Source organism: Homo sapiens, chromosome 1 (genome assembly GCF_000001405.40).
Source record: "Homo sapiens chromosome 1, GRCh38.p14 Primary Assembly".
Taxonomy (NCBI): domain Eukaryota; kingdom Metazoa; phylum Chordata; class Mammalia; order Primates; family Hominidae; genus Homo; species Homo sapiens.
Window position 1 is genome coordinate 74578110 of NC_000001.11, and position 22943 is coordinate 74601052.

General features: G+C 34.5%; 1 protein-coding gene and 1 long non-coding RNA gene across 12 annotated transcripts in view; one reads left to right on the plus strand and one right to left on the minus strand.

Moving 5' to 3' along the window:
• ERICH3 (glutamate rich 3) overlaps positions 1-22943 on the minus strand; it is a 106221-nt gene that overhangs the window by 9987 nt on the left and 73291 nt on the right. For 4 of the 10 annotated variants that reach the window (XM_017000285.3, XM_017000280.3, XM_017000283.3 and 1 more), the window contains exon 1: positions 2-533. Coding sequence is in view for 4 of the 10 variants with exons in the window: in NM_001002912.5 (NP_001002912.4) it covers positions 11522-11971; positions 21586-21822 (687 nt within the window). In the remaining 6 variants the exon portion in view is untranslated. Of the gene's footprint in view, position 1; positions 534-1294; positions 1447-8274; positions 8328-11521; positions 11972-21585; positions 21823-22943 lie in introns of those variants that run through there. The other 6 variants (NM_001002912.5, XM_017000275.2, XM_017000277.2 and 3 more) reach the window with 3 other exon arrangements.
• Positions 1-22943, plus strand: part of ERICH3-AS1 (ERICH3 antisense RNA 1) — a 48669-nt gene that overhangs the window by 680 nt on the left and 25046 nt on the right. Inside the window, exon 1 of one of the 2 annotated variants that reach the window (NR_121670.1) lies at positions 11626-11798. The exons of the other annotated variant lie outside the window; for it this stretch is intronic. This is a non-coding gene — a long non-coding RNA (ERICH3 antisense RNA 1). Of the gene's footprint in view, positions 1-11625; positions 11799-22943 lie in introns of those variants that run through there. 2 annotated transcript variants of the gene reach the window in all.

Here is a 22943-nt window from a genome sequence, read left to right on the forward strand (position 1 = left end):
CCATATCACATTGAGTAAATGCTTTGGCCTAAGCCAACGCCTTGGTTTATCTGTCTGTCAAAAAGAGTTATCTATCCAATGGTTCTTGAGAGGATTAAATGAAATAATATAGAGAGAGCATCTTCATCTTCCACTTATTAGCAAGTATCTAGGCACTTAATAATAACAGCAATGATGATGATGATGATGATGATGATGATGATGGTGATGGGCATTTCTAAGTGTCATCACCCAGTGTGGTATGATTCTAGGCCAAAGTGTAAAGCCAATTAAATTTGTCTTTAGTTTCTGACAATTCCCTTTCTACATCCCTTGCTTATCATCTGATTACCCATATCGTGAATTCCATAAATACCTGACATTACCATTATATCACCTCCTTGTTAACAAAAGTTATTTCAAATAAAACTAGACTTAGATCTGTCTTCTGGGGTAAGAACATAGTATTTCTGAAACTAACTTCTTTCCTTCCCTTTCTTCCTTTCTTTCCTTTTTCCCCCCTTTCTGTCCTTTTTTCCTTCCTTCCTTCCTTTCCTTTCCCTTCTTTTTCCCTTCCCTTCCCTTCCTTTTCCTTCCTTCTTTCTTTACTTCCTTCCTTCCTTCCTTCCTTCCTCCTCCCCCGATATTCTGTTACAACGGATATAACGGATTTACTTTGAGAAAACAGAACTGGAATGCAGTTTCTTGCTTAGTTTAAAGTGAACTGCTAAGGGGTAATTACTTACTGACCCCTCTGTATTTGGAAACGAATAGTGAAATACCTGCCTTAAATCGGTTTTGGAGGGAAAATTGTGACTTAACAATATTAGGACGACAAACAGAAATGAAAAAGGGGAATAATATAGTTCAAATATATTCTCTTTTAAAAATATTTGAACTCAGTTTTCTTCATTCATCCAATATAACAAAAGTTTTTTACAATAAGAGTTTAGAGATTATATCGACTCAAGACAATGATGTAATAGTTGGATTTACTATCAAGTTTTCATTTTAGAAACTTGACAAACATAATACATGAGTTAAATATCATTTTACTATAATAATGTGAATACTGTATATCTAGACAGTTCAAATAAGCAATGTTTTAGGTTTTGCATATAAATTTATTTGGCAATTACATGAAGCTTCATTCCATCAGTGCTAAGACATCAAAGCTTTTTCCAAGTAGTCCACAGGGTATAAAAATATAGTCTATAATATTAATAATAAACAATAAGCAATTAGCAGGTACTGAACCAAAAGACTACTATAAGAAGCCAAACAATACTAACATCATCTGAAAATTAAAACTCACTCAGAAATGATAGTGAAGCTTGTAGTCCCTCTGTCTCAGGGATGTTATCACCACTTGCCCACGTCTGCTGGCTTGCCCCTGGAGGATTAGCCTTCGGAAGTAGATGAGAGCCTGTATAGTTAGGTGTTGCCTATTTCAGATTCAGCAAGAATGGGATGCTGGCCTAAGTATCAAGGACTTACTAGGTGTGAAACCAGAAAAGGCTTCACTTGGTCGTTTTTTCTCAGATGTTCTTCTGAAACTGAAACTTAAAAGCAAGAACTTGGCTGGTGTCTAACCTCAACTGTTTTCCACCCATAGTAAAAGAGGACTGTGCATGCTGAGACTCCCATTTCAGCAATGTGACATATCACTTTGTTGCCTCTCTGTATTTAGCCCTTCATCCCCTAAGGCTCCTGTCTTTTACCTATCAATAAAGGTGACCACTGGAGGCAAAGGTGATTGTCAGTTCTCACAGCATTAGTTGCCAAATGGAATTGTCACACACAGAAAATTTCTTAGAAAGTCAGCTTTTTTTTTTTCACTCAAATGATATAATGATACTTTAAGGTATTTTTTTAAATATCAAAATATTCTTATTTTACAATGTCAGCTTTTTAGTATAAAAACAAATATATTTTAAATAATATGTATTGTATTTTCCCTAAATATGGAGACAGTATTTAGATAGATTATCCAAAGCTTGAAAAAACTAAAGGATACAAAGAAGAAAATAATTATCATAGTTTCACTACTCAGAGAAGACTACTAGTTAACATCTTAATAGATTTCCAAGTATTTTTTACTCGATTCTTACTAAAGGTAGCCCTTAATATCCCACTTTATTAATTTAGCAATATATTGTGACTATTTTCCCATATCATTAAATTTAAAAGACTCTTCAATAACACATAAAACATTATAATAAAGTCTTACTAAATTTCGGTTCATCAATGTCTATTGTTAAATATTGAGCTATTTCAATTGTGATTATAAAGCTATTTTAAACACTACTTATAATCATTTTTGCACATATTTCTGACTATTCCCTTAGGACACATTCCTGGAATATGAATTGCTATGAATTTTTAGAAGCTTTTTATACATATTTCTAAATGTTCTTTTAAAAAGGAGGTATGATGAACAATGTCATCAATAATGACTGAAAGTCCTATGTGCCTGCACTATTTTCACAATTTCCACCAATTCTTTCTTTATTTGATAATTTAGTAATTGAAAAGTGGTGGCAAGGATAGAGCTGTCAATATTAGTAGCAAGCTTTCCTTTTGTGAATTTCCTGCTATACAATGTACATTCTTCTGTTATGATGTTTGCTTTTTCATTGATTTGTAAGAACTCTTTATGTATTACAGACATCAATCATTTTTTCCAGCCTTTATTTTAGATTCAGGGGGTACATATGCAGGTTTCCTACATGAGTAAATTACATGTCACTGAGATTTGGTGTGCAAATGATCCCATCACCCATGCAGTGAACATAATACCCAATAAGTAGTTTTTCAATCCACGGCCCCCTTTCACTTTCCCCGCCTGGTAGTCTCCAATGGCTATTGTTGCCATCTTTATGTCCATACAAACATAAATGTTTTGTCATATCCATCTGGCAAATATTTCTTCCAGAGTTTGTTTTCCTGTATAGTCGTATGTTATTTCTGTTATTGCAAAGAATTTCACATTACTCAGTACTATTTCTTCCAAATTAATGAATTTTTTTCAAATCCCAAACTATTATTGTTAGGATTTGCAGATGTTCTACAACAAATTTTGGATTTAATCTGGCAAAAATTATCATCATCTTTAGTCTTCTATTCAAATAGTTGGAGTGATTTCCCATTTATCATATTTCTTTTTCATCTGCTTTGTGTGGAATAGCATATTTTTCTTATTAAGCCCATGTGTTAGGTTTTTCCTTCTTATACATTTCTTAAAGTCTGATTATGAGTATTTCTCCATTGCGGTTTATTACTTTTGTTGTTGTTGTTATAGTGTGAGTGGGGTGGTTCTTTGAGGCTATAGTGAGAAATTGGTCACCTTACAAATACCACCTGTTGGCACTAATAATTGCAATTAATTAATTATCCAGTGAATTTTTTTCTCTTAGATCCAAGAATTATTTAGAGTACTGCTTTTAAATTTTCAATTTTTCTGGTGAGAGTTAATTATATTTTGTAAATAATTTATAGCTTTATTGCACTGTTATCATTTACTGTGGATTCAACAAATTCTGCTCTGTGCTGCTATAAAAAAGGCACATGGAGAATAATAGTTACATGATAAACCAACCTTCTAAATTATATTAATCATTTTTTCTATGTCCTTATGTATTATGAAAAGGACTGATGTTTATATTTATATACAAATGAGCGTTATTCATTTTGTATTTTCCACTAAGAGAGTGGATAGCTTCTTGAATGCTCTTAAATCCCATTGGGATGCAGATTTTCCTCAAAAACGTTAAGCTGAAATAGTTTCCAATTCCAATTCAGTGACCAAAGAGCTAGAGGAGAAAGGAAAGGAAAGTGGGGCTTTGAACCCTCTTAGCAGAAATGTAATTCACTGCGTTACTTTTCTGTGGTTGCAAGAGCTTCCAGGCTTGGTTAGACAGCTACTCTAGTCTTGACATTGCCATCTTCTTTGTTATGGAAGTGCCTCTATGAATTCAGGGGAGAAGACTCTCTACCCACCAGTGTAGCTGACTTTTTGTTGGTGTTGCCTCACAAGCTTTCCTGGGATGGTGGCAACAGTGGAGAACACTGAACAATTAGAGGCCAGCACACCGGCTTTTTACTTCCTCACGGCTCACCCCTGCTTCCAGCCTCTTCTAATCCTTTAAGTCTAGGATGATTTCTTTTTTAACTTCTATGAGGATGCTCCTCTTTCTCATGGGAAACAAACACAAGATAGCTCCTGATGTCTTTCTCTAATTTGCCCTCATGTAGCAAATTCCTTGGATTTTGTGACATCTGGATGGTACCTTCTTTAGATATAAAAACACACTTTTTAAACTTTGTAAAACATTTAAACTGCTATTTTTATACTTTCTTCCTCATTTAAAATACAACAGGGAAAAAAAATCAGGTACCTGAATTCATATTACCAAATGACATAAATTTCACAGTGTTTCTAATTAACATTCTCCCTAAAAGTCGATTTATAGCCTTCATATCACTTGCTGCTATGTTAATGTAGAAACTTAGAAACTCACTGCAATAATTCAACTGCTTTTGTGGAAACAAATCAAATAACATATGAAAATTCAGGCCATCACAAGTGGGATGTAAAAGTTGATACTTTAATATCTACTAGTCAAGATGCAAATTGAAATATTAAATATTTACTAAACAAAAAACATTCTTATGATCATTTTGAAGCATTATTTATGTGGTTTAAATGAATATTTTGGAATTTTTCAGGTATTTTTTACCATAAACTTTGATTTAACAAAAAAATATTTAGAATGATGACGATGAAAGTTGTAATTTTTCAGGCCAAACATAGTTGCAGGGTAGCATTTTCTCTTTTCTGATTTTTTTGTAATTCTGTGCTTATTTTGTTTCTTTCTTTCTCTTTTCTCCCCTGACCCTCCCACAATTTTACACATCCTCTAGGCCATTTTTCTCCTTTAAAACAATGTAAACGGGGGCAGAACAAAGCCACAGTATTTCTGTCCTGTAGTTGCCAGTTCTCCATGGTAAAGCTTTAGATGTCATTGTCGGCCAGAGCAGATGAAGAGGAAAATATGCAGAGGCATAAGAAGGAAAGTTCAAGAAATCATCCAAGAGCTTCAATGTACTGTATATCTTGGGGGCTTCAGGGGTTTTGTTTGTTTGTTTGTTTTTACAGTATAGGAGTCTCCCCTTATCTGCAGGGTATATACATTCCACAACCCTAGCAGATGCTTAAAACAGTAGATAGTATCAAACTCTATATATACTATGCTTTTTCCTATACATGCCTCCTTATAATAAAGTTTAATTTATAAATTAAGTACATAAGAGATTAACAACAATAACTAATAATAAAATAGAAAATTATAACAATATACTACAATAAAAGGTATGTTGATGTGGTCTCTTTCTCTCTCTCTCTCCTTCTCTCTCTCTCTGTCTGTCTTATTATACTGTACTCACCTATTTTCAGACTGAGGTTAACCATGAGTAACTGAAACTTCAGATAAGCAGGTCAACTGTGCTACGTATTTTCTAGCCAATAGTGTCTGAGGGGTTTGGGCAGTAGAAAGGTAAGGAGAAGTAGAACCACTAATACATAAAACTTTAATAAATGGTTTACGCCCTGAAACAAAAATACTGGTTATTCTATTTCATGCTTACTTGAATCTTCATTATCGGTTCTTTCTTCCAGGTTCTCAAATGTCAAAATACAAATGCTCTAATTTGGTATACGTTACATCTTTTACATTTCCTATCGTGTATTCTCAATGACATCTAATTCATTCTCTCTCCTATACTGTTTTAAACAAACCAAATTGATCCCATCTTAAAACATGTTAAGAATCCTGAGCAACTGAATATCAGAAGAGGGTTTTGTCAAGAATTTTCATCTGTATTTTAAGAATGAAAGAATGCCATAAAAACACCATAAAGATATGCCCAACTTATTCCAAGTTCCTGGTGACCTTGAAAAGTATCCCTGTGCTTTCATCATTCTTTGTGTAGCCAGTCGATTACCTTCCCAACAACTCACCATGACAAAATTCATGATTAACATCATCTACCTACACAGTGAAGATGTTCTTCTGTCATCTTTGACATTGATGCATGGCCCACAAAATACCAGGATTAATTACAAACCGAAGACCACAGCTGTTCAAAGACAGTTGCAGAGAATGCTAAAGTTTAGCCTCCATATAGTAGCCAGAATAATCTTTTCGAAACATTCAGATCATGCCATTGTGGTCTCACATCTTCCTAGAGGAAAGATTTCCTAACTCAGAATAAATTCCTCCCCATGACCTATGAGCTTCCTCCTCTGACCTCATCTTGTACTACTCTACTTGTTTACTAGACTCTGTCACACTGGCCTCATTTCCAATTCCTTCATTCAGCAGCTATGCTCCCAATTTGGGGCCATTGCACTTGCTGGACCCCTGCTCCCTGTGGTCTTTCTGCAGATGACAGAGTGGCCTCCCCCTGCACTTCATTCATCTCTGTTCAGATGTCCGATTATTAGAGAGGCCATCCCAAAAATACTACCCCTTCCTCAAACCATCACTCTATTATCCCTTTACCCTGCTTTATTTTCCTTCTATTACTTAGCCCAGATACCCCATCACATGCTTATTTTTCACTTGGCAGGCATATCTCTCTCCTAGAATATAAAATTCATGTGGAAAGGGACTCTTATGTTCACATTGAGAACAGTGTGTGGCATAAAGCAGATCCTCAGCAAATATTTAGGGACTGAAGAGGTCTATTAGAACAACCACATGCTTCCACAGGTCATTCAGAAATTGTATTTAGACCTCAACTCATAACACTTGACTTTCTTGTTCTTTCATCAGGACCATTTTATCCTGCCTGCCTGATGACAAAATTGCATTTCATTTTAGTTATACTATTATTTAAGTTCAAATTGCCTGGTCAAGCACTATGACTTTTCCTGATTCACATACAAAAATAGAAAATGCTTATTCCCATATGCATTTGACATTATAATTTACATTAAATACACTACTCTTTATTTCATTTATATTTATGATGTATAAATTAAATTAAGTTTACAAATTAATGCACTTGAGTTATTCCACTATTAGAACATATTGCCAAGATTGTGTCACAATGCATGACAGCTTAAGCTGAAAATAACAGAAAAATAAACATTAAAATAACACTATGCCCTGTAATACTGGATTAACACCCAAGAACACTGTCTGATTGCAGCTAGCAATTATAATCTTTTACTTTATCTGCTTCACTGTGTACAGTACATCTTTTATTCAATTCATCTGATTTGTTGATGGACTGGACAAAGTCCAATTAAATATGACATACTATAAAATAGTGAGAAGGAAAATATCATTTTATGCAATCAACCTAAAAGGTATGAAGGCAATGGCTGTACTTTACTCATTTATCCACTGCTATGATCTCAAGTAAAAACAATTCAAATTAAATCATGTTAGCTTAGAGTCTATAAAACATCATTAATTGTATATGATTTTTAGCCCACAGATTTATTTGTAACATAGATTATTCTTTAACATAATAACAGCTTTTATTCTAACTGAAAAATAATTAAATACCATACAAATGTGGGACATGGTCATTTACACATTCTCTCAGCCCTCTTTCATTTCTACCTACAGTTCCAGTCAGGGATCTAAGTACAATATATATGTGTGCATATTTTGTGATTTTATGTGGAATTTTCTTAGAAATTGTTATTCATACAAAAAATTTCAAGAATATTTTTGACTTTTAAATCTATTATTTAAAATATTAACAAATTTATTGAATCATTTCCCTGAGTATTTGTATTTAGAAAACATTAGCCCCCCAACTGTTATAATTTACTCAGCCTCAGGTTTTTGATAGCATTAATCCTTCCACATCATTCTGAATATTATACATGGTCTTTGTTCTGTTTTACCTGTTAATGTCTTATGCTTTATATTCCCTGATTCTATATTTCCTGGCTTTCACAACCCTCAAATTTTGTTCTTTTGTGGAAGATGAACAATAGAACAAAACTATGAGTTCTTACACAGAAGGCAACATATTTTAAAGAAAACGTGCAGTTATACAATACTGTGGCAATATAAGAATAACAGATAAGGTGAATAAGAAGAAAAGAGAAGTGTGCTTATGTGACAAGACATTCAAGATACAGTGTTAAGTGAAAAAAGCAAGTCTCAGAACAAAATGTATAGTATGTTTCCATCTATACATAAAAATAACATATGTATATGTATCTTTGTAATATAGCAATATATATTAATATATCTATACCTATCTACCTACCTATAATTTCTGTAATCATGCACACACCAAAAAATTGCTATCCACCGTTATCCCTGGAGAAAAAGAGTAAAGGTTGGGCGAGAAAGACTTTCACTTTCACTTTATTCTTCTCTGTTCTGTAATGTTTAAACATTTAAACCAAATTTTTGTGAGAAAAAAGTTTATCAAAAACCTTAAAATATCTATAACTTTTGAACAAAAATTATACTTATTGAAATTTATCTTAAGAAAATGTTTATAAATTTGAAATAATCTTAGTAATAAGACACTAAAGTACTAATAACAATAGTGAAAGTAAGAAAAAATATAAATGTCCAACAATAAGGAAATGGCTAAATTATGAGAAAACCACAGAATGGCATAACACACAGAGATTAAATATGTTCATAAAGATTAAAGATGTGAAAAATGATCACGTTATAATGTTAAGATATAAAGCAGCATATATTTTACAAAATATGAAAACAAAACTTTGTAAATCCTAAGTTGACAAATAAAGAGCCCGACCAAATGTTAAAAGTGATCTTTTTGTGTGTGATAAACCTATGAGTAATTTTTCAAAATTACTTTTCTCTATTGTCTAAATATTATTCCATGTGTATTATTTGTTAATAAAAAATTAATAATCGCACATATATTACGGCTTAACAAAGATAAACAGGCTGGGCATGGTGGCTCATGCCTGTAATCCCAACACTTTGGGAGACCGAGGCGGGTGGATCACGTGGTCAAGAGATCGAGACCATCCTGGCTAACACGGTGAAACCCCGTCTTTACTAAAAATACAAAAAATTAGCCAGGCGTGGTGGCGAGCACCTGTAGTCTCAGCTACTCGGGAGGTTAAGGCAGGAGAATTGCTTGAACCCGGGAGGCAGAGGTTGCAGTGAGCTGAGATTGTGCCACTGCACTCCAGCCTGGGTGACAGAATGAGACTCCATCTCAAAAAAAAAAAAAAAAAAAAAAAATTAAAATCAAAGATAAACAGTCCCAAACCTTGCCATCTTGTGTTGAATCCACCTTAATAAAAAGATAACAAAATGTTTTAAAATTATAGATGTTATCAAGTCAAGACCATAGGTTTCCCAATATATTTGAGAAAATTAATAAGCCAATACACTTTTCATTTTACAAACCCAGAGAAAAAAAAACTACTGTCTTCCAGGTGACATGATCATAGTGCTACATCTCTGATATTCTACAGCCTAATTATGACCCTCATTATGTATATCCTACTTTACAAAAAGATGTCTACTTACACAAATTCAGGTAAACAATCTGGTTCTCTGAAGTGAAAATTTAAAAAATGAAAATAATGTTAGTGTTTCTATTGACCTTTAACACCTCTACCTTTTTGATTAGCAGCTTGTCAGCTTGTATACATTTTCTAGATGATACCTTATATGTATGAAAATTTCATAATGAAATTCAAGATCAAAGATTTGAATTATTTTATAAAAGGGTTTCAAATATATTTGAGCTAGAATCTTGATTTATATATGACAAAAATCCTTTTGAAGATGTTCAGGGTCTTTGCATTTTTATTCTAGGGCAGAGGTTTATGAACTTTATCTCTAAAGTCCCAGTTTGTAAATTCTTAGGATTTTGTGGGCTATTTAAAAATACAAAAATCATTCTTGGCTTGCAGGCTATTTAGAAAACAAGACAAAATAGTAGTGGTTTGGCCCCTGGGCCAAAGTTTGTCAAACTCTGTTCTAGAGTTATTTTTGGTAACTTATTCAAAGGTCATATGCATTGCTATACTCCACTATCTAAAACACCTTTATCCTCCTGTATCCCACCTTCAAAATTGTATTTAACCTTTAAAGTTTCTCAAATACGTTCTTCGTGAAAACTTTCAAGGTGTCTTTTAACAAACAGGACTTCTCTCCTTTGAAGCCACATAGCATTTTTTACCTTCTCTATTTTACATGGGACTACTAACCTTTGTCTGGTGGTGTGCCAAGGCTTCCACTCAGCAAGTTATGAGAGAAACTCTGTCTTACACATTTTTTATTGACTATGGTGCCTTGTGCATAGTAGAAGATTAATAATATTGGTTGAAGTAATAGATAACTATTCGACATCTTCAATTCCTAGTAGACCCCAGTGGTTTAACAGTAGTTTTTAAGGGTCTAAAAGTAACATAGACGCTAAAAGCATTCATATGCTTTTAAAACGCAGCTGAATTTTAGTAATATTAAAATGTGAAAATAAATTTTATCTTAAAATCAAGAATGGCTCCTGCATTGACAGGGGAGACAGATGAGAGAGAGCAACCAAAGGACTGTGAACCAGTTCCAGGGCACAGGAGGCTAGGTGAGAGGCAAGCATCGGGCAGGTGCAATCCAGCTCTCCACAGGACACCCCTCAGCCCTTCCACTGTGCTCCTCAACTTGAGAAAAGCATCAGACCTTCCATGTGTCTAAGGTCTGGGGCCTGATTATCCTGACACTCCTTACTGTTTCCATGTCAAATGAACAATCTTACACACCCAGGAGCCCCAGGGATCAGAAAGTAACTCAGTTTCAGAGAACTCAAAGGGAAGTTTGGAATCTTGTAAGAAAATTTTACACTATTATCTAAATCTAAATTCATATTACACAGACGCAATAGGCAATATTTATAAGTTCTGGAACAACTCTGCCTGAATTCATATCCTAGGAATGCCTCTTTTAGCTGTGTAATCTTTGGTAACTTATTTAACCTTTGGAAGCTACATTTCATTTTTCATCTGTAAAAAAGAGATGATGATAATAGAATGTAACTTAGAGGGAGACTGGATTTTTGTGAGGACGTGATGAGTTAATATATCTAAGTGTTTAGAACCATGCCTGGAACGTAGTAAGCACCTATTAACATTAGCTATATATCTGAAACTCCATATATAGCTAAAAACAAATAGTATTTCTAGTATTAAATAATCTCTAAAAGCCACACACATCCTTGCCTTCAGACACATACTGTGCTTTATTTCATTCCTGAGATGGAATTCCCATAGGAGGGAATTTACCGAAAATAGGAAACAGGCTGGATAGAAATTATCGAGTAATTTTTTAAGTGCAAGAGAAGGCAAACAGCAAACTGAAAATACATGTATGATTATGTGACAAAGAGAGACACAGCAAAAAATCTTGAATCCCTAAAGCATTGTCACAGTAGTATTTCCCAAGCTTTGGCATAGTGCAATGACCAAAATCAGCTTCCATGCATGAGGATGATGGCAGCTCAACTCAACGGCCATACTTACCACCTTCCTCCAACCCAGGGAGACCTGCCTTTTTGTCCTTCACCTGAGCAGTGCTTTCTTCCCAAAGCTTACTCTTATCCTTTTCCTTTTCTTCTGCAGAAACATGTTTCCCGGACTTCTCAGATAAACCCTCTGCAATCTCTTGGGTTCCTTTCTCCGTTCCTTCTTTAAGAACATTCTCAAAGCTTTCGTCTATTGGCATCGGCTTGGTCTCCACATCTGCTTTTGTTATTTCTTGGTCTTCAATTTCAATTTCTAAGGATTCCTCAATTGGAAGGTGAGACTTTCTTGGCTTATCATTTTCACTCAGTTCCTGAGAAGATGACCTTCTGGCACTTTCATCTGTGCTGCTGTCAGTGTGGGCTTCCCTGTCCCCCACTGCAGATTCATCCTCACTGTCACTAGAATAAGGGTGACTTCTGGATGAGGTTGATGAAGCAGTTTTCATATCTACAAAAAATAAAAGTGATGACATTGTTGTTGTTCTGTAAAGCAATTGGTTTAATTGTAAAAATTATGTTAGCAATTAATAATACTAAAAATTTTAAAACATAGTTTAATATAGACCTGATATCCTTTTCCCATATAGTCTACTCAGTGGTCCCCAATCTTTTTTATACCAGGGAGTGGTTTCATGGAAGACAACTTTTCCATGGACTGGGGTTGAGTGGGGATGGTTTTGGGATGATTCAAGTGCATTACATTTATTGTGCACGTTATTTCCATTATTATTACATTGTAATATATAATGAAGTAATTATACAACTGACAATAATATAGAATCAGTGGGAGCCCTGAGCTTGTTTTCCTGCATCTGGACGGTCAGATTTGGAGATAATGCGAGACAGTGGCAGACCATCAGGCATTAGATTCTCATAAGGAGCTCACAACCTAGAACCCTGGCATGTGCAGCTCACAATAGGGTTTCTGCTCCTATGAGGATCTAATGTTTCCACTGATCTAACAGGAGATGGACCTCAGGCAGTAATGCCAGCGATAGGGGATGGGAAGTGGCTGTAAATACAGATAAAACTTCGCTGGCTTCCCCACCACTCACCTCCTGCTGTGCAGCCTGGTTCCTAATAGGCCATGGACCCTGTACCAGTCCGTGGCCCGGGGATTAGATCCCTGGTCTAAATCATTGTTAGGATAAGGAAAACCTATCAAATCAATGGAATATATGAGTATATAGAAATTTTCAAGAGATCACATTTAACTATCAACCATCCCTGTTTTTTTGTTGTTTTTTGAAAGCCATTTTTTATTGAAAACGCTTTATAAATATTCACTTTGTTATAGAAAAAAATGAATAATCCTTTGTCTCTTCAACAAAAGCTTTTTTTAAAAAAATTTATTTCATTCTATCACCACAGTATTCTGTGTGCATGAAACTTAAATTTTTGTCTACTGTACTATCCACCATCCTAGTATATCTTGGTATATGGACACAGTAAGATCTGTGTATTTGGCCAGTACATAGACAAATATTTTTAGGTGACACTTGCATGTGTGTGTGTACATAGATGGAGATTTTATCTTATTTTGAGCTCTGCAGAAGCAGAAGCTGAGATGAAGATTCATGTGTGAGAAAAGTATTTAAGATGTGCTCCAGGAGAACTCTTAAGGGAGTAGCAGAAGCAAGGGAAGGAAGGGCAGAAATCAATCAAGGGAGATATTTCAAGCCCCATCTCAATCTCAACCTGATCCCATGGGCACTTCTGACATGTAAGCTATATTAGGATGTAATTTATATTAGGCAGGAGCTGGGCTTTCATACTTCGGAAAAGTCAGACATTAGCTATGGGCCACCCTAGGGGGAATGTAAACTCTCTGGCATTTCCAGGCTCTTTGAGTCTGAGGGTGAAGCACCACCAGTAGTCCAGGGCAGTCCTCTGAAAAAGGTGAAGGGAGCAGAAGATGGGAAATGGGTGAACAAAGTTGGCAAGAGATTCTGGGAGATCTAGGCAGTGTGACGACAGGGTGCTACAGATTCGCAGTCTAGAAACTTACGGTAGCCACAGCTGGTTTATGTAATACCTAGAAAGGTTTTAACAATTTCCAGTAAAGTACCATACACACTGAATCTCAATAAGGAAGCTGGACAGCATAAAAAATCACTGCATACATTGCTACAGGCCAGAGAAATACAATCTAGCTTTTCTAACCAATAGGTCTAGGTCTGTAATTGTTTTTTTTATACTTCCAAATAAAACATCCTACATTTAAATGCTGCCTATTTTTTTGTTTTCTCTGTACTCCTTACTCTTTTTTTTGTTTCTTTATTTCTTTCAGTTCCATTTGGCAGCTGTACCGATGGCTGTAGCAGCTAATGCAGAGTTTAAGATAAAAAATACCTGTCTTTGCGCTTATCCTCTTCTCTCCATGCCTCCAGCCCTGCCGGCTCTCCATGACAGGTCTTAGCATTTTAAATATAGTCTCAGAGACATATCAGAGTTTCCACAAAGATTTGAGAGATGCTACACAGCAGTAAAAAACAAACTCAAAAAGCCTTTCAGCAACAGAGCCCCTGAAGTCTAATTCCATTTGCTTTTATCTCCTGATACCTTGACAAACACCAGATGACCACTATTTTTCAAATAAATCACATACTCTAGCTACTCATTCTTTATTCTCCATTTTATAAAATCTGGATATGCCATCTCTCTGGTAGAAAATGTAGCAAATCAAGGAGAGTTCTTCTCCATCTTATTTGTATCCGTTCAGAAACTTTAGGGTCTATGAACTCCCCTTTCCCTTCAGAGTCTTATGTTTCTTCTTTAAAAAAAGAACATCAGCTCTGATTTATTAGCAGTTTAATCAATGGCTTTCATTAATTACATAGTTAGCTAGGACTCAATGTTATACTCCTTCTGAACTCCAAAAATATATCTACCATCTGAATATGGAAATGACTCCTACTTTTAGCTCTGAGAGTTGGTCATATAATTTTTAAAAATGAGTGCTCCTCTGCCTTTCTTTAGCAGCTTCCATTAATTGTATTATTTTATTTCAAAGGGCTGAAATATACTCTGGTTCAAGTTTGAGTCAGTCCTTCAGAGGAGAAAGATCAGGAGAATGAATGGCCTCGAAGTGGCCAGGGCACCTGACCTCCCATACAAACTCATTTCAGTTTTCAAATTTCTCCCTAACCTCATGCTATAATTTAGTTTCACTCTCATTTCTTTCTCTCATTTACATACACAGACACGGGGGTAAGACTTTGCCTATAAAAAAGCTAAAAAAGCTTCAGGGTTATGAAATAGGATTTTCAAAACTAATTTTATTTATTCTCTTAGAAATAAAGCAAATGCTTATATTAAAAAAAACTTTGAGAGCACGTATGTAAATTTGCTTTGTCATTAGGAGGGAAAAATTATCTTGGAAGCATGTTGATAAACAGCTATGCCTCCTACCCAATTCCATTTGTTCATGTATTCCCTTCTGGTAGTGATGCTATAAGAACCTGCTTTTGCTTGTTTTGGCAAAGAAAAGATCTGCACTCATTGCGTGAGGTCTTGGCCGAAGCCAGCAAGTTTGGTGCCATTGTTCCATGTCCTAAGCAAGGTCTTTGACTTTTCTCTTTCCACAGTCAGGAGCTCTCCAGGCCCTTCTTCCCTTTTCATGTCATTGACAACTGCTTCTTTCTTTCTTTTTTGGCATCACTATAATTAAAATCTTGTTTGACACAGCATGAGATTGAGAAAAAATAACATATTCTCCTGTACGACAAACCCTGGTGTCCCAATCACAGCTCAGCTACTTAATAGTTTCGACTTTGGTTATGCTATTTAATTTCTTTAAGGCTCTGTTTTCTTAACTGTAAAATGGGGATAATTCTACTTGTTCTCCTTACATAATTGTAGAAATTACATGAGAAAAATATTTAACCTAATCAAATGAAATAACTATTTCTTTATAGTCTTTTTTCCTCTATGACATCATACATGTAGCATATTCTAATAAATTTCTCTCTTGTAATTTCTTTCTTGTGATATTGAGTGATATCACAGCTACCATGATAAAGATAAAACCAATCATGATTATGCACCTACTATAAACCAAACCATGACATAGCACTTTACAAACATCTCATTTAATCCTATGAAATAATAATTATCTTCTATTTTGAGATCCAGAAAGAGAGGTCCAAAGAGGTTCAACAGTACCCAATGTCCATTACCTAGTAAGTAGCAAGTTTTTGTAAATGCTTCTTTTGTAATGATAGACTGCAATAAAACCAAGACCCTTCTATTTGCTAAAAGGCCTTCAGACAGGAAGTACCCACAGCCATGGACCCACCATTGCTCCTCTTAGCTGACTTTTCACTGTTACCACTTGAGACTGACAGACAGGAAATTGTTCTCTTTCAAAAATCAGAACTCATGAAATGTGTAGTCTGTCCTTGTTTTTTTATCTCTACTGGTCATTCTTAACTTTGTCCACCACTCCAAAGCTCAGAGTCCACTTAAAATATTCTGAGGCACAGAATATGAATACAAAGCAAAAGCAAAAGGTAGCGATCAAAGTCTTCCCTAGTTTATTTATAACATTTATCATGATGCTATTTTATGAAAATATACATGTTATTCAGTTATTTACCAAATAACTACAGAACACTGTGGGGACACTCACAAAAATGGGGCGTGTGTGTGTGTGTGTGTGTGTGTGTGTGTGTATGCTTTGTATGCCAGCAGTCTTCACTGTTTATACTGCCTGATTGCTAGCTTGATACGCCTGACCAAGGGCACCAGCCACACACACATCCAAAGTCAACACCAGTCCAGCAAATCCAGGATAAAGTCTGCTCTCCCTCCTCATAACTGAGGTTCTGAGTTGTCCTCACTTTCCTTCCAACTTACATAGATTCATTTGTCCACTAAATACATATCGAGAACTTCCTATGTGCCAGGCAATGTTCTACAAGAAAACAGAAACCTTGGTCCTTGCTTCTACCTATAATACACACTCAAAACAGAGATTGACTAATTATCCACCTCCGTTCGCATGAGGGAAATAGATCCACTGTACATGTTCATAAAGGTATTGGTTCACTCTAACAGTGACTGCTGATAACTCTCTCAGAAACTATTGCCATACTCTTATTGCAATCAGTAGCCAAATTGTCTGTTTTAAACCAATGACCAGACCTGACCTTAGTTTTCAATCATTTTCTCACCTGCTAGCAAGGAGCATAATTTTACCACAGTTTAAATTCACCATTTCCTTAATTAGTGTCCTGATTTTAACTACTTTGTTTTTGGTTTATTAGCTGGAAGCACCTACAGAAATTGCAGTTTAAGTTCACAAACTAAAATGAGTAAATTAAGTTAAAAATTTAAATGATCTCAGTGACATAACCGTGGATCCCAACCCAGTGGATCCAATATGCTTTTCAATTCTAATACCATCCAATTCTCTCCTTCCTATTCCTTAGTCCAAGAGTTCACAGCAAAATCTGCATATATGCTGCTCTTAATTTCTTCAAATTAGCCATGACACATGAATTTATATATCCTACTATTAGTTGTATAAATAGTTCTGTCTTAATGAAACTTACAAGTTCAAGAAAAACTGTTTATATTATATGTCAGTTCAATCAATATCTTCATGTACAGTAATAGCTAATTAGACAAGTGCTTTATACTCAATAAATGTTGTAGGATGAATCTGTGCTTAATGAAAATAAAAATATAAATTATCAAATTCCAACTATGAACAGTAACTGGTTTTTAGTCTTAAGAGGGAACATATGCCCACATACTGATAGTTATTATTATCAGATGAAATGTCTCAAATCATCAGGGAGACAAGTATATGTAAGAATACATATTCACAGGTAAATGCAGATATAGCAGGAGGAGAATAAAATAAAATGTTCTCCATATTTACCTTTAATTTCACTTTCTAAACATTAAAATAAACTGTTAAAATATTTATAATACAATCAAATCATGTGTCACATTGTGCTGTATACATTATTTTCATTCATCTGTTGATCTATTCAATCAGCCCTTCATTCACAAGAGTTCACTGAGTGTCTATGTAATGCCTTTGTTTTCTACAAGGCAGATTCAAACTGTAGAGAAACACTTCATAGAAAAGTATTTTTGTGTGAATTAAAGGATAGTTCTACATTTAAGTATTCACCTGAAGTTATGCCTTCCTACTTCGACAATTGAAAAGTGACTATGGATTGGGGAATTATTACCATTAAGAAACATTTAAGTTTGATTGACCACGCAAAAAATCACACATATTATATAGTCTTTGGTCAGAAGCCATCTATAACATTCCCATAATCTTCTCTGATCCAAGAAGCAGATACATTACACTGAAGTCCAACGGTGCGTCTCACAGCACAAAGAATTTCAACACAGGAGAAGCCTACACCCCTATACTTCTTTTCAAACCCATATTGAAGCCAAAAGATTAAGGGTGAGATTCTTAAAATCATAAATCAATTAAGTAGAATATTACTGTGATTCTGGGACTTTAAAAGTTTATAAGATTTACTTCTTCAACAGATTGAAAAATAGCATGAATGAAATCATCTTTCTTACTAGAAAAAAATGACTTCAAGTCTTACTTTCTTTTTTTCATATTCTGGGAGAAGTCTCTTCTCTGTCTCTTTATCTCTACTTCAATCTCAATCTGTCTAATCTTTCTCAAAAGGAGCTAGTTAGTCTTTTTTTTCATTACTAATTTTTAAATTTGTAATTGACAAATAATTATTGTATATATTTATGAGACACAATGTGATGTTTCAGTGCATGTACACATAGTATAATGATCAAATTGGGGTAATTACATATGCATCACTTTAAGCATTCATCATTTCTTTGTGGCGACAATATTCAAAATCTTCTCTTCTAGCTATTTTGAAATATATATTACACTGTTATTCGCTATAGTCACCCTACTGTGTAGTAAAATACTAGAACTTATTCTTCCTGTCTAACTGTAACTTTGTACCCGTTGACCTCTTACTCATGGACACTATCATCCAAACTGTCCATAAAAGTATATTCTCAGTGACATGATACTTTTCCCCTCAACCTTATAACATTCATCTATGACAATATATTTTCAACTGGTGAATTAGTGCCTGGGGTTGCCAACACAAATGCAGAGAAAAGGAAGCTGTCGTTCTTTTTAAATGATAGGAAGTCTCACACATCATTCCTAAACCAGGGTCCTCTCTTAGTCAGCTTGCAGCCAGTAGCACTCTATCACTCATGGGCTGCTCAGCACAGTGTATTCATCAAGGCAGGCCGACACAATTGTTAGCTGGCAGTTCAAATGAGGCTGACTTGTCACAAGAGTGACAGCCTGGGCAATTGTTTGCCCTCTGGGAACAGGTGTAGGCAGGTTCAAATGAAACACATCCAAATACTAACAGCAAGATTCTTAATCATGTCAATAAAAAGGATGTACTGGTGTCTGGGATTCAGTGGTCACATATGCCTCTCACACTTTTGGAAATGAAATGCTGTCTGGCTTTTCAACAGAGTATTCCAAGGAATCCATCATGTCATTATCATTTTTAATACATGCTACTTGTTCGCTGGATAAAATCTCTAATGCTGACACTCCACATACTAAAAGACATGTTTATGCCTTGAATAACACAAAGGCAAGTTATCAAAATAAAGGAATGGAAAATAAGAAAGTCTGACGATGGAGTAAAAAAAAACCATAATCAGCAATGAGATTTGATTTCAGAATGACACTGTTTCAAAACACCAAGCATGCAAAAGAGCCCTTTAAAAGCATAGCTTAATAACATCATTAATGAAACAACAAAAGAAAATAGCTAGCCAATTTAATTTTGGCTCTTAAATTTCCCAATATTTGTGAACCAGCTATATGTTCTTATAGTTTTCATTGCATATCTATTTAAAATATTATATATTATGTATCTATACAACGTTGCTAATTATAGATTTTTCCCATTGAAAATTCCAATAACTGTAAAGTATAAATGTAGCTAGATATCATGGCACTAACCGAAACATCTTCGTATTATTGGTGTTAGCATTCAAGTAGTTGCTTAATATTTAAAAAATATCTTTTGAGAAATCAGCTATGTCAATATGCAGAGGATTCCTTACACCATATAAAAAAATCAACTCAAGATGTATTAAAGACTTAAAAGTAAACCTAAATCTAACATTGAGATTGTTCACAGAACTAGAAAAACCTATTTTAAAATTCACGTGGAACCAAAATGTCTGATCCACCAAAACCATGTGGATCAGACATTTTGTCTCATCTCCTGTATCTATCCTCTGAACATCTGTTGAGTTTCCAAACTCCTAACATCTAGTGAGAACATTACTTACTTATGCTGTAGTCTGCCACTGGTGTTTCGATCCTCTCCAATATTCTCTACTCCTCTTGCATTTTCTTTTCTAACTTAGGACTTTTTTATTTCTCTTTCTTTTACCATGAAAGTCTACCTACTGCTGTTTTCCATACATTTTCTTATATGTAGCTTTCTCTCTTTCTCCCATCTTACCTATTATTAAAATTATACTTTCTTATATTTCTGAAATGCTAAGGTATGTGTGAAAAATCATTGATTCAACTTATGCTAAAAGTGAAATTTAGTACTATTTATTACATGGATTTTATGGTCTCGCATTGAAAAGAATCTTTACCCCAAGTTGTTTAAAAAAACTCATAAATTTCATAGGGATTAAGTATCTGAATTAAAATTAAATAATGAAAATAGATGAAAATTTGGGGATATGTCCCTAACCTTTGGATTAGGAGAAGGCTTTTTAATTAGAAAAGAAACTGTTAAGCAATAACAAACAAGATAAATAGATTAGAGTAATAAAAATTAAAAAGTTCTGAATGACCAAATATTAATGAAGTAAAAAAAAATTGAATGAAAGCATGACAGCATGTGATAAACTATGCCTAATAAAGAGCCCCTCAATAGCCATAATATCCAATAGAGAAATGAGTAAAGCAAGCAAAATATTCACAGAAAAGGAAATATAAATGGACAATGAATATAAGGAAAGATGCTCAACCCACCAGGAGTTAGGGTAATAAAAACTAAAACAAGAAGCTAGTATTTTTTTGTCCATAAGATTAACATAAATAAGATTAATAAAATCCAGGTGAGTGGGTGTATCACAAAACAGGCTTTCTCTTATATCCTTGTTAGGAATGTGAATTATATGACCCTTTCAGAAAGCAATCTGCCAGGATTTACTAAAATCAAACATAAGCAAATACTTAAGGAAATCTAGCCTAAAGATACAGAAATATCAGTACACAAAACAATAAATTGGCATACCATAAACTTTCATATTGCTATTAGCAATAATAAGTTATTCATACACGTATTGACTTTTTAGGATACTTAATATGTGCACAGTTAAACTGAAAAAAATAATTTCAAGAGTAACATGAATTATATGCTTACATATTTGTAAAAAATTACATAAATATTTGTATGTAAGTTTATGTAATGGAAAGATACACTGAACTGTGGAAATGGAGAATTTTTAACTTTTTCCTTCCAAACAATTTGTTACATTTTCAATGTAATTGGAACACTGATAGGATATGGCTATAGTCGTAAATGTCCTTTTTAAGATTCCTTTACATTCTAAAATAGTTACAGAGACATTTGTTTTATGTTCCTCTTTCATTAGGTTTTTGAAGCTGCATTAATAAAGTGTGAAGGTAACAAATTACCTCATACTGTCATGAGTGGGAGCTAAATGATGAGAACACATGGACACATAGTGGGGAACAACAAACACTGGGGCCTATTGAAGGGTGGAGCATGGGAGGAGAAAGAGGATCAGGAAAAATAAATAATGTGCTAGGTTTAATACCTGGGTGATGAAATAACGTGTACGACGAACCCCCATGACATAAGTTTATCTGTGTAACAAACCTTCACATGTACCCCTTATTTAAAAGTTAGAAAACATACATTCAAGAGAAAAAAAAGAGGATTATCTCATTAAATAGAAAACAAAGAAAAGTAGTAAACACACTCAGTAAACAGCCTATGTTACATGATAAGCTGAACAACTCGCCTTGTTTATCCTCTTCCAGTTCACTCTCAGAGCATCCATCATTCTCATCTTTCACATTGTCACGGGCATCTGGTGCCTTCTGTGATGAGGTTTCACTCTCTTTTTCAGGGTCTAAATTATCTTTTTTATCATCCAAAGGTGACTGCGGTATTCCATTCATTTGAACATCAGCCTGTCCTTCTTCATTAGATTTTTCACCTTGTTTCTCCTCATCTACTTCAAAGTCTTCTTCATACTCTGAAATAGGAAAATCTCCACTATAAGAATGAAAATAGAACCCCTTATACTTAACCTATTTCTCTCTAATGAGAACTTTGACTCCATTATCCTCTCTTCTCTGAGCCTTTCTTTGCTTCTTCTTTTTCGTTCAATTAGTGAACATGGAAAACTAACAGCAAATGATCAAAGATTCCAATCAGTTACATACACAAGAGCACAAAAGAAATGAAGCTCCAAATGACAAGGCTGAAACCTAATAAAAGTTCATTTACAAATGAACATCATCATCTAAAATAACCAAAATGGAAAGAGAAGAACTTGATATAAAACAATAAATTAGAAATAAATTAAAAATGAAGAGAACAGGATTATAATAATGAAAGTTAATTTGGAGATCCAGTGAGGTCATATTTCATATGAAAAATGTTCAAAATATTTGGATATCAACTTAATGAATAGTGAAGTGGAAAAATTCAATTAATCAAGTCCAAGAGCCCTGAGAAGTAACACTGTGAATAGCACATTATTTAAGAAACAAATGGACATCAAGAAAAGGCATTATGAAGGATTCTATATGTAGGCCAGAAATGAAATCATATGCATTATTCATTCCTACAATAAATGAAATAATTACATTTCAATGATAAAAATTTACACAAAATAGAATATTCCTGTCACAGCCACATATTTGCTTTATTCCCTGCAGAGGTGCTATAAATCTGTAGCAGGAAAAGGAAATTGTCACATCAGATAAACTCCAGCTGTCCCTCGTGGTTATAATTTTTCACCTTTCATATTTAACTGTTCCCCTTTTTCTTCCACCAAAAACTAAAAATCTTGAAGTGACAACATGCCAAGGATAGAGAGCAAAAGGATCTCATGCAGAACCAATTAAGCAAATAAACAATTATCCTTAAAGTAAAAATTACCGAGAGAATAAATGTTTCTCAATTTTGTGTGTTTTAGTTATTAGCTATTCTGGCTTCTCTGTGGGGGAGGGGGGCCTCTCGGGTAATTTACTTGAGAGCTGTCCACCCAGTGAAAGAAACTTAATCTAGAAATGTATACCCTGTGCATATGCAGAAAGCTCTGTAAATACAGAGGATGAGGGAGATGTAAGGGGAAAAGTGAAATCAAAA